Source organism: Homo sapiens, chromosome 12, assembly GCF_000001405.40.
Source record: "Homo sapiens chromosome 12, GRCh38.p14 Primary Assembly".
Lineage (NCBI taxonomy): Eukaryota > Metazoa > Chordata > Mammalia > Primates > Hominidae > Homo > Homo sapiens.
In genome coordinates this window covers 109,393,620-109,406,059 of record NC_000012.12, presented here as the reverse complement: position 1 = coordinate 109,406,059, position 12,440 = coordinate 109,393,620, and the positions used below count along the sequence as shown (strand labels likewise).

Here is a 12,440-nt window from a genome sequence, read left to right as displayed (position 1 = left end):
TCCTCTCCAAAAGAGGAGCATCACCTTGGCTATCCACTTGATCTCATGGGTGTCTGGGATAGTGGCACAGCCTTGGTCGTCTTCTTCAAAACCAATGTTCCCCAGGTGTAAGACACTGGCAATAATTCCAAAGAGATTCTAGGAACATGGGAAGTGTTCAGAGACAGGAGATCAGGACAGGGAAAGAGAACGGTGGCCGCCTAATTGATACATGTCATTAGTGGAGACACCTGAAGGAAAAATGCCCCCGTCCCAATTCCACACCTGAGCCCACAGAACCAAGCCCTCCTGCTTCCTCAGAAATCAGCCCTGTTATTCACTTCAGGTGCTAAGGGAAGAGGGAAACAGCCTCATTCAGTGTCCAGCAGGAAACACTTTATTTTCATATAACAACAACAAATACATAAATGGATTTTTCATAAAATAAAACACTTTTATAAAATATTTTATGGCCGGGCGCGGTGGCTCACGCCTGTAATCCCAGCACTTTGGGAGGCCGAGGTGGGCAGATCACCCGAAGTCAAGAGATCGAGACCATCTGGCCAACATGGTGAAACCCCATCTCTACTAAAAACACAAAAATTAGCTGGGCACGGTGGCATGTGCCTGTAGTCCCAGCTACTTGGGAGACTGAGGCAGTAGAATTGCTTGAACCCGGGAGGCGGAGGTTGCAGTGAGCCAAGATAGCGCCATTGTACTCCTGCCTGGCGACAGAGCAAGACTCTGTCTCAAAAGAGGAAAAAATAATTTATAAAATACTTTCTAAAATAAACCTCACTAATGAACGCACTTAATTTTCAAATAACATTATCTATCTATCTATCCATCCATCTATCTTTTTTTTTAAGAGACAGGGTCTTGCTCTGTCACCCAGGCTGGAGTGCAATGGTGCCATCATAGCTCACTACAGCCTCAACCTCCTGGGCTCAAGCGATCCTCCCGCATCAGCCTCCTGAGTGGCTGGGACTACAGGCATGCACCACCATGCCTAGCTAATTTTTAAAATTTTTTTGTAGAGGCAGGGTCTCACTATGTTCCCCAGGCTAGTCTCAAACTGCTAGCCTCAAGTGATTTCTCCACCTCAGCCTCCCAAAGCATCAGGATTACAGGTGTGAGCCACTGCACCTGGCTTCAAATACAGCTGTTTTTAAATTACATTCTGGCCCTTGAAAGACTGATAGTTTAACAATCAAAATGAAAAAAAAAAAAAAGACAAAAAGATGTAAAAACAAATTGTTTATAAATTCTACAATTTGTTCTAGTTTGTACCAAAACAGAAGCCTCAATAAATGAGAATCTTGTAATTCTATGGCACCTAAATTGTTGAGACTGGACTTACTTTACAGGAGAAAAAAAACTGACTCTTCCTCCTTGCACACAATATTAGGAAAACTTAGAGTTGCCAGATAAAAGAACCCACAGTTAATATTTGAATTTCAAACTTACATTAATTTTTTAGTATAAGTTTGCCCACATGCAATAATTGGAACATGATTATACTAAAAAATTCTTCACTGTTTATCTGAAATTCATATGTAACTGGGCATCCTGTATTTTTGCTTTTGGTTTTGTTTTTTTGAGACGCAGTCTCGCTCTGTCACCCAGGCTGGAGTGCAGTGGCACAATCTCGGCTCATTGCAACCTCCATCTCCCGGATTCAAGCGATTCTCCTGCCTCCGTCTCCGGAGTAGCTGGGATTACAGGTGCCTGCCACCGCGCCTGGTTAATTTTTGTACTTTTTTTTAGTACAGACAGGGTTTCACCATGTTGGCCAGGCTGGTCTTAAACTCCTGACCTCAAGTGATCCGCCCGCCTTGTCCTCCCAAAATGCTGGAATTACAGGTGTGCGCCACCACACCCAGCTGCATCCTGTATTTTTATTTGTTGAATTTGGCCACTGTATTCTGCAAACACCAAGAAATTAGGAATGTTTCCTCAGTCCCAGGGGGAACTATCAGTTCTGCTGCAAAAGCACGTACCTCGAGGTCAGCTTCAGTAAAATCAATGACAGAAAAGGCGTTGGAAACAGTTTTCCAGTCATTCTTGTCACTAATGGATGACTCTTTGGCACAATGACCCTGTTGACAAAAAGTTTGAGTCACTTAATGTCATTTTTATAGGGGCAATTAAGCATGTCTATTCCTCTCTGAAGATGCAAAAGCTAGTCCTATATAATGTACTGAATTGCGAATCAAAAATAGGTTTTACTCTAATTGTCTAGCATGTAATGATCTGACAACTGTTGCTTTTTTTCAAATTTATTTGGAATTTTGTTTAAAAATCTCTGTTCTGGGAAAACATTCCAAGTTACATGTAAGTGGTGTATCTTTTTGTATGTGTTTTTAAACATAGTTTTCTTATCATTTTTGCTAAATAAATTGAAGCTGTTTGTCTCAAGAAATATCTGCTGAAATATGCAGGAATATTAAAGTGCTTAAAATCAGAAACTCCTGACTCACTTAGAGATTGCCAACAAAAATTTCACTGCAGGACTAGATGAAAGAAGCCTTTCCTGCAAGGAAATAAAAGGCTAGCATTTAGAGAAACAGAGGTTTTGTGAAAATGATCACAAGCAGAGATTTTCCCCATGAACTCCAGAAGTTGTCTTTTAAATAACAGACTGATTTAAAGAGAAAACATTCTAGACAAATGTTTTGTATTATTTTGCTTTTGTGGTACAGGGTGTTCCTAGTTTCCTAATTATCTGAAGATCTGTTTTCTTAAAAGATTTCTTCATTGCATGGGGGAAATCAGATGTGTCATACCATGAAAATATTTCCTAGTGAAGTGACCGATATAAAAATTTTTTTTTACATATGTAACTAACCTGCACGTTGTGCACATGTACCCTAAAACTTAAAGTGGCCGATATAAAATTTGCAGCCTCACAAACCTTCCCGCACAACCAGCAACATCTGCTCCTGTCCCTGAAGGGATGGGTTTATGCAAATCAGTCCCTCTCCAAAACCTGTTGGTTTGAAAGCAGTGCGAATATACTGCAGAGTGAAGCCATAAAGTTTACCAAAGTTATGAGAGATCATGAAATTGGTTTTAAAATAATAGTGGCAAATTGCTAGACCCATTTCCAAAGCCCCTGATGTATAAAGATCTAGTTGAATTAATGTGGCCATAAAAAAATCTACAGGAATAAAGACACGATATATTCTAAAAGAGAAGGATTTATCAAAGGGTTAGAGAAGCCCTTGGGAAAATGGATGAGGCCTCAAATATTTTTACAAATTGACCCTTTCTGGTCATGCTATGGGAATACAATCATGATGCGACCATACAGCTTTGTTGGGAAAATTAAGCCCTCCAAAAAGAAAAAAACATCACATTTGATTTATTCTTTGTTCTAGTAATTAGTTGAGTTTGCTTAGTATAAAATTAGATTATGAGATTCTTTCTTTTCACTATTTACCTTCATTTTTCTTATTTCTATTTTTAAAATACATTTAGAGATGGGGTCTTGCTACATTGCCCAGGCCGGTCTTAAATTCCTGGACTCAAGCGATCCTCCTGCCTTGGCCTCCCAAAGTGTTGGGATACAGGTGTGAGCCACCGTGCCCCAGCCTGCCTTCATTTTTCAAGGTGAACTTTTGTCAAGGCTTCTTTTCTTCCATGATTTCTAGAAAGTGTTGATCCTCATTTTATGAGATTCATTTTATAAGACCTCATTTTCTCTCTTAAATGATGCCTTCATCTACATTCTACAAGGTGGCCTCCATTCAAAGCCAGGCCAAGTGAGAAGAGAAAAATAAAAAAAATGTTGGGACTAAAAAGGTGTTAATGACATCAAATGCTGAGACGTGCCTTACAATCTGGGCATTGTAGGACGCTAGTGCAGGCTGCAGAAAAACAAATATTGCAGGGTTATATTCTGACAGTCAATTTTATAACACTAGACTCTAGGCTTGTTTATAGGAATAGCTTGAACTATTTCTGTAAGGTGGTGTGTTCATTTGGCAGCAAACATTTGTCAAGGTGGAAGGCAGGAATGCGGGAAAAGATCTTTTCAAAAGTAGTTCACAGTGGCTCGTGCCTGTAAACTCAGCACTTTGGGAGGCTGAGGCAGGCGGATCTCTCTAGCTCAGGAGTTTGAGACCAGCCTGGACAACATGGAGAAACACTGTCTCTACAAAAACTACAAAAATTAGCGAGGCATGGTACCTCGCGCCTGTAGTCCTAGCTACTTGGGAGGCTGAGATGGGAGGATCACTTGAGCCCAGGAGGTCAAGGCTGCAATGAGCCATTATTATGCTACTGCACTCCAGCCTGGAGGACAGAGTGAGAACCTGTCCCAAAAAAAGAAAAAAAAAAAGGTAGTTTGAAAGCAGAATGAGATAGCATAGGTTTGGGGCATAGTTGGACAGTGAGTTTCTATCACATCCAGATCAGCGCTCCTCACTTTGGCTGTACGCTAAATCACCAGGAGGACATTTAAAATAATTCTGATGCCCAGGTCCTACCCAGACCAATGAAATCTGAATCTCTGGAGGGTATGGCCCAGGCATTTGTGTTTTTAAAGGGCTCTTCAGGTGATTCTAGTTTCAGCCAGGGATGAGAACCACTTACCTAGACATTGGTTACTTTACCAAGGTGATATAGCTGCCAGGCATAAGAGGAGATGGATTAGATTGCTTGTGATATATATATGGAGAAATCAGCCAATAGGACACATAGCAGGATGGTAATAGAATGTCTCAAACATCCTACAGCAGCACGTAGAAACATCTCTGATCCCCTGCTCCAAAGAGTCACCAAAGCCAGGTGCTGGTCCTTCCCACCTGTGAGAGGTATTTATACAGCTGGGGGTCTCGCTCGAGTCCCAGGTAAGACAGGCGCTCCTCTTCGCCACCTGCCAGCAGCTGGTAGAAGATGTGGAAATTCCGCTCGCCTTCGTTTTGGTAGACAACTCGGGACTTCTCTATCAAGTAACTGATGATATGCCCACCTACGGGAATGCCCTTCAAAACAGAACAAAAATTGCAGCAGTGACAACAATCAAACCACTCTCTTCCTGGCATCTCCTGATGGCCCGAAGTTCTAAGTTTGAATGAAGTCTGATCTGATCAATCTTCTTTCTTTTTTTTGGACATATCAATCTTCTGTCATTAGTATTTCCTGGGTTCTGTTTACAAAAATTTTTGCTTACCCCAAGAAACTATCATGAAGATAGTTTCTATGTCTTTTTCTAGAAGCATGATTGTTTAGGATAATGATCCCTCACTATTTAATTTTTGTATATGCAGAGGGGTAGTGGTCAAAGGTCTTTTTATTCATGTTGATATCCAGTTGATCTGTGCCATTTATTGGAAAGATGATCTTTTCTCTACTGAATCATAGTGATGGTTTCGTTGTAAATCAGCTGACTGTACATGTGAACTCTATCCTTTCTGGACTTTATTCTGATCCATTGTCTTCTTTATCTATCCTTGTGTCAATATCACACTGTCTTAATTAATATTTTCAATAATATATCCAATAAAGGATTTTTATTCCAGAATATATAAAGATTCTTGCAAATCAATAGGAAAGAATTGACAACCCAATTAAAAACGGGCAAAAGACTTGAATGAAAAAGAAAGCCTTTAAGTGGCCAAGAAGCAAAATGTCATTCATCACCAGGGAGATACAAACTTAAATCACAGTGAAAAACCACTATATCCCACCAGAATTTCTCAAAAGGATGAAGAATATAAATGTTGGCAAGGGTATGGAGCAACCGGAACCATCATTAATTATCCTAACACTGCTTTGCTGGTAAGAACCCCACAATTCCACTTCTTTAATCCAATGTAAATCTACTAAAGGGCATGTGCAAGGATGTTCAAAGTGCTATATGTCACGGTCCTAAATTGCAAACAGCCCAAATGTCCATCAAAAGTAGAACAGATAAGTTGTGACATAGTCATATAATCAAAAAGTGAACAACTGCTACATGCAAGGACATGGATGAATCTGACAGATACGTTGATTGAAAGAAGCCAGGCACAAAATAGAACATACTGTGTAATTTCATTCATATGCACTTCAATGACCAGTGAAATGAACCTGTGATCACAGAGGTCAGAACAGTGGGCAGTGGGAAGGGGGAGTGTGTTGGGGAAGGGCAGGAAAAGCTTTTGGATTTTAGAATTTTTAAGAGATAGGGTCTTGCTTTGTTGCCCAGGCTGGAATGCTGTGGCCTGATCATGGCTCACTATAACCTCAAATGCCTGGGCTCAAGCAATTCTCCCACCTCAGCCTCCCAAGTAACTGGGACTATAGGCATGCACCACTGCGCCTTACTATTTTGTTTTTGTTTTTTGTAAAGACGGGGGTCTCACTATGTTGCCCAGGCTGGTCTTGAACTCCTAGACTCAAGCAATCCTCTCACCTCGACCTCCCAAAGTGCTGGGATTACAGGTGTGAGTCACCATGCCTGGCCTTCAGATGCTAGCATTTTTTTTTTTTTTTTTTTTTTTTGAGACAGAGTCTCACTCTCTTGCTCAGGCTGGAGTGCAGTGGCACAATCTGGGCTCACTGCAACCTCTGCCTCCCAAGTTCAAGTGTTTCTCATGCCTCAGCCTCCTGAGTAGCTGGGACTACAGGTGTGCGCCACCACACTCGGCTAATTTTCATATTTTTATTAGAGACAGGGTTTCACCATGTTGGCCAGGCTGGTCTCGAACTCCTGACCTCGGGTGATCTGCCCACCTCGGCCTCCCAAAGTGCTGGGATTACAGGTGCGAGCCACCAGGCCTGGCCTGGATGCTAGAAATTTTTATGTCTTGATCTGGGTGGTGGTTACAGAGGTGGACACATACGTAGAAATTCACTGGGCTATCCTCATGTTTTACGGCCTTTTCAGTATATGTGTTGAAGTTTCAAAAAAATTTTCAAATATGCATAGCTATTAAATTTCTTTCCAAATCCACTCCACCAGAGGCCCACATCCCAGCCTCTGGGAAATCCTTTAGCCAGTTTGTCCTGAACATTGAGCTCCGTGCTCATACAGCTGCTGCTCCCCCATGTGTCATTTTACCGCTTGGAATTATGAGCCCTTGAGAATTCTGCCTTCCTTTCCTGCTTGCCTTAGCCCCACTTCTGTGTCTAACACAGCTACGCTCATTCACTTACGCATTGTCCATGGCTGCTTTCATGCTACAAGACTGGACTTGGGTCATTGCGACTGTATGGCTGAATGGCTCACAAAGCCTAAAATACTTACTATCTGGCTGTATCCGAAAAAGAGTGCTGGCCCCTGCCAGGTAAGCAGGCATGCCTAAACAATATATTGTTTACTTGTGTCTTTTTTTTTTTTTTTTTTTTTTTTGAGAGGAAGTTTCGCTCTTGTTGCCCGGGCTGGAGTGCAGTGGTGCCAACTGCAACCTCCACCTCCCAGGTTCAAGCAATTCTCCTGCCTCAGCCTTCCGAGTAGCTGGGATTACAGTCGCACACCACCATGCATGGCTAATTTTTTGTATTTTTTTTTTTAGAGATGGGGTTTCACAATGTTGACCAGGCTGGTCTTGAACTCCTGACCTCAGGTAATCCACCCACCTTGGCCTCTCAAATTGCTGGGATTACAGGCATGAGCCACTGCATCCGGCCCTTGTGATTTGTTTTTAAGCTTAATGGAAAAAATGATATCATGCTGGCATACAGTATGTTCCCAAGACCCATCCACATGAGGTGTAGCTGTGGTTCATTTGCTCTCTGCAGTGTAATGCCTGTTGGTGTGAACACACCACAGTGTAGTCGTTCTCCTGTCGATGGACATTTCAGTTCTCCCCAGATGTGTTGGTGCTGTTCAGTCCGTTTACTTGCTCATGATGAGCAGTGCTCTTATGGACATGCTTACGCATCTGTAGCGATATCTCTGGGAGCGGAATGGTTGCACCTTACATTATGTTTTTTCAGCTTCTTAAGATAGCATCATATCTCTGGTACAACCCATTATTTTCCAATAATTTTCCAATATTTTACACCCCACCAGCAATGTGTAAGAATTCCTTATGATCCATATCTTCATCAACACCTGGTATAGATCAGACTTTTTAGTTTTTGCCCATCCAGATGGTATAAAATGTTATCTCATTGTGGTCTTAATTTGCATTTCCTAAAACCAGCACTAACCCTGGATATTTTTTTAAATAGCTTGAGCCAAAAAATGCCGTTCTCCCCTTAAGGGGCCTTGGCTTGGGTTCCGTCACTGGCAAAATAAGGGGTCCCCATGAACCAGTAATAGGAGCTTCAGTGTACCTGAAAATCAAATTGTATATCCATGTATTTCCCAAATCTGCTGGAGTTGTCATTCCGGAGCGTTCTGGCATTTCCAAAAGCCTTGGAATACAAAGTGTCATTCACTGTCATTTAAGCTCACCATGCGTATCAAATTCCTGACCCCAAATAATACACTTATTACAAAAATGGAGGAGAGAGAGCGGAAGGAGCCAGGGAGGAAAGGCATGCTTTATCTTCTAAGAAGGAATCGCTAACTACAGAGAATTTAATGCCAAACACTAGATCTGGACCCGGGGAGAAAAGGGGAACAATATCTTCTTCCTAGAATCCAATTAGGAATATATTGGAAATGGTCTCAGGAGGGGTACATAGAACCCTAGCCCCATGCTGTTCTAGAAGGTACAGTGGACAGCCCCCATCACCAGACCCCTTTTTATACCACCGTTGCTCTGCTCAAAGGGTCCACTGGGAAAATTCCTTCAACTATAAACATCTTCATTTATAGAAAGGGCCACAAAAACACAGGAGAAAATGACTTGTTCAGCAAGTCAGTGAATTGCAATAGTGGAAGTAATCATAACCAAAATAATTTTAACTCAATAATAAGAAAACTATTAATAAATAATACATTATTTTTGGTGCTTCCTAATTCTGCTGTGTGTTTTTTGTGCATCTGTTTCACTTAAGCCTCAAAACTTCTTAGGCTGGGTGTGGTGGCTCACGCCTGTAATTACAGCACTTTGGGAGGCTGATGCAGGGAAGGTCACCTGAGGTCAGGAGTTCCAGACTAGCCTGGCCAACATGGCGAAACCCCGTCTCTACTAAAAATGCAAAAATTAGCTGGGAATGATGGTACGTGCCTATAGTGCCAGCTACTTGGGAAGCTGAAGCAGGAGAATTGCTTAAACTCAGGAGGCGGAGGTTTCTGTGAGCCGAGATTGTGCCACTGTACTCCAGGCCTGGGTGACGGAGAGAGACTCCGTCTCAAAAAAAAAAAAAAAAAAAAAAAAAAAAAACGAAACCAAAACAAAAACCAAATGTCTTAAAAGGTAGGTACTATAAGCAGACCCATTCAACAAATGGGGAAATGGGCTTAGTTCCAGGTCACACCCTTAACTGTGACACTATCTGTGTGACCTCTTTTCTTAACAGTGACCTGCCCATTTTGACTGACCTGCCCAGACAGGATTTGTCTCACTTAGTGACCTCCCTGGAACTCCCTTCGATTGGTCCCCAGAGATCGCTTACCTCCAGCACTGGGTTGGAGAACAGCAGTCTGTCACGGGCTATTTGTAGTGACTGGGTCATTGGGCAGGTCACTGCAAAATACTCGAGAATTTTCTTGGAGGCCTCTGTTTTCCCTGCCCCACTCTCTCCAGAAATGAGGATGAAATGGTTATTTAGTTCAGCACACATCATTCGGTAAGCGTTGTCGGCTATAGCGTAGCTGGAGGAGGAGTGAGACGGAAACAAATTCGTTTTAATGGTACTTCCCTTGACTCTGACACCCACCAAAGAAGAAAAATGAGGTGCTCCATCTCCAGGAAGCCACATCCAGACTGTGGTACAAGGACAATGAGCTCAAACACATATCAAACCCTTTCCATAGGCGGGGCACAGTGGCTCATGCTTGTAATCCCAGCACTCTGGGAAGCTGAGGCGGGTGGATCACTTGAGGTCAGGAGTTCGAGACTAGCCTGGCCAACATGATGAAATCCCTTCTGTACTAAAAAAAGATACAAAAATTAGCCAGGTATGGTGGTGCATGCTTGTAATCCCAGCTACTCGGGAGGCTGAGGCAGGAGAATTGCTTGAACCCGGGAGGCAGAAGTTGCAGTGAGCCGAGATTATGCCATTGCACTCCAGGCTGGGCAACACAGCAAGACTCTGTCTCAAAAACAACAACAACAACAACATCAACAACAACAAAACAAACCAACAAAAAACAAAACAAAAAAACCCAAACCCGAAAAACAAAAAAACAAAAAATCCTCTACCACGACCCACTGACTAATCAAATATAGAGTGTACTAGATATCAAAACTCAAATAGTAGAAGAGCTAAAAGGAAGAATTTGAGAATTTTTTTTTTTTTTTGAGATGGAGTCTCGCTCTGTCGCCCAGGCCAGAGTGCAGTAGCACGATCTGAGCTCATTGCAACCTCTGCCTCCCAAGTTCAAGCGATTCTCATGCCACGGTCTCCCGAGTAGCTGGGATTATAAGTGCAGCACTACCACGCCTGGCTAATTTTTTTATTTTTAGTAGAGACGGGGTTTCACCATGTTGATCAGGCTGGTCTGGAACTCCTGACCTCGTGATCCACCTGCCTCAGCCTCCCAAAGTGCTGGGATTACAGGTGTGAGCCACCGCGCCTGGCCTGAAAATATTTTTTAAAGTTCACCAAATTTATGTTTTTAATCCATCAACATGTTTTATAAGAATAAGCCAGCTACTAAGTTACATCTCCAAGAGACGTTCTATTAACTCTAGATGAAAATAACAATCTTGTCTAAATACTAAATAATTCAATTCAATAAATAGAGTAAGATCTCATGTATTTTTTCCCTCAAAACCTAGAATACTAAAAATGGAGTGGCAGGAAACCAAAGAGATTAACAAACTTCAGTGATATCTTTAGGACAAGAGGTAAAACTATGAGAAGTGCTTTATCTTCAAGATCAGACACCAAAGCATGAAGGTATCCCAGGAATATAACCTGAATACGAGGCAGAGTTCCAAAGCCATTTCGGCTTTTAATACATGGTGGTGGCTGGGCATGGTGGCTCACACCCTGTAATCCCAGCACTTTCGGAGGCTGAGGCAGGCAGATCGCTTGAGCCCCAGGAGTTCGAGACCAGCATGGGCAACACACTGAGACCCTGTCTCTATAAAAATTACAAAAATTAGCCAGGGTGGTGGTGTGTACCTGTAGTCCTGGCTACTTAGGAGGCTGAGGTTGGAGGATCACCTGAGCTCTGGGAGGTGGAGGCTGCAGTGATCCATTACTGTGTCACTGCTCTCCAGTCTGGGTGACAAAGCGAGACCCTGTCTCAACATATATATGGTGGTGATGCAGAAAGGCTTATAAGTGACTTAGAAAGTGGAATAGCTGAGTCACCAAGACAACAGAGGCAGAATCTAAATATTAGCCTAGAAGTCAAGAGGGAGAAAAACTAGAAAATTCAGCAAAGCCTGGGCAAGAAAAAATTGCTCAAGTTTCCTTTTTTTTTTTTGGTAGTCATTGTTTTGAATGTTAAATAACTATTAGAACATTTGGCCAATCAGGCATAGTGACAAACAAATGGCATTATTTAGCAGAAAATATGGGTTATATGTTATTTTCAAATACAAGGGAAATTATTTAAAATGGTAAGGTTTTAAGGCCTAAAAACGTACTCAAGTTTGTGAAAACTGATATCAAGGTGGTTATATTTTCTAGCTTCTGTGAAATGGCTCTAGAAACTCTGAATTAATGTGTAACTAACCAGTAATCTCTAACTACATGCAAATTTTTATTTCAGTCCCTTTTAATTAACTTCTGAATTAAATGAGAAATCTAAACAGATTGTTTTTACAGAGTCAGTTACATGTTAAGAAGGAAACATGGTGTTTGGAGACAAGAGATCTGAGTTCAGGTGAATAATTCTACCCTGTCAGCTTATAGTATTACATAAAAACAAATTCTGGCCATACTGCAGGCGAGTATGTATTTTCAAAAACTTGCATAAAACAGAAAATGTTATGTACTAAAAATATAATCACCATCTACAAATTATTATTACCATAGGTTATACATAGGGGAGAGGAATGAAGAAATTTGCACCTCTTAAGCTTCCACAGCCCTGGGAAGTTTCTACCAACGAGCAGTCCTCTTAGCCGCTATGACACTCAGGCACCAGTAGATGGCACTATAGCAACCCTCTTCCCGGAGAAGACATCTCTCCAGCCACACTTAAATTTCTCAGCAGTTACACACAGGTTGCACCTCTTTTCATATTTAAGCTGAGATTCCATAAAGACCCTCTAAAGTTTTCTACTACTTTGGAATACTTACTTCACAAGAAGGCAAGGGCTTAAATGAGGTACAGAACCTAATAAACATGCATCAAGGATTTAGATGGATGGATGGATGGATGTATCGATGGATAGGTAGGTGGATGGATAGGTAAATGGATGGATGGATAGGCGGATGGATGGATATGTGGATGGATG

At 41.8% G+C, this 12,440-nt stretch overlaps 1 protein-coding gene across 3 annotated transcripts in view, besides 1 other annotated feature; it reads right to left on the bottom strand.

Annotated features, from left to right (window-relative positions):
* Positions 1 to 12,440, bottom strand: part of MYO1H (myosin IH) — a 137,912-nt gene that overhangs the window by 42,320 nt on the left and 83,152 nt on the right. For all 3 annotated transcript variants that reach the window (XM_011538223.3, NM_001101421.4, XM_047428738.1), the window contains 5 exons: positions 9,478 to 9,676; positions 8,248 to 8,328; positions 4,788 to 4,967; positions 1,980 to 2,078; positions 25 to 138 (listed from right to left, as the gene is read on the bottom strand). In XM_011538223.3, the coding sequence (XP_011536525.1) occupies positions 25 to 138; positions 1,980 to 2,078; positions 4,788 to 4,967; positions 8,248 to 8,328; positions 9,478 to 9,676 (673 nt within the window). The remainder of the gene's footprint in view (positions 1 to 24; positions 139 to 1,979; positions 2,079 to 4,787; positions 4,968 to 8,247; positions 8,329 to 9,477; positions 9,677 to 12,440) is intronic.
* Positions 9,270 to 9,470: a silencer, noted in NCBI's record as "peak1943 fragment used in MPRA reporter construct". NCBI's record gives its function as "represses an SCP1 promoter by STARR-seq MPRAs in K562 erythroleukemia cells {active_cell/tissue: K562}" and the evidence as "EXISTENCE:reporter gene assay evidence [ECO:0000049][PMID:32103011]".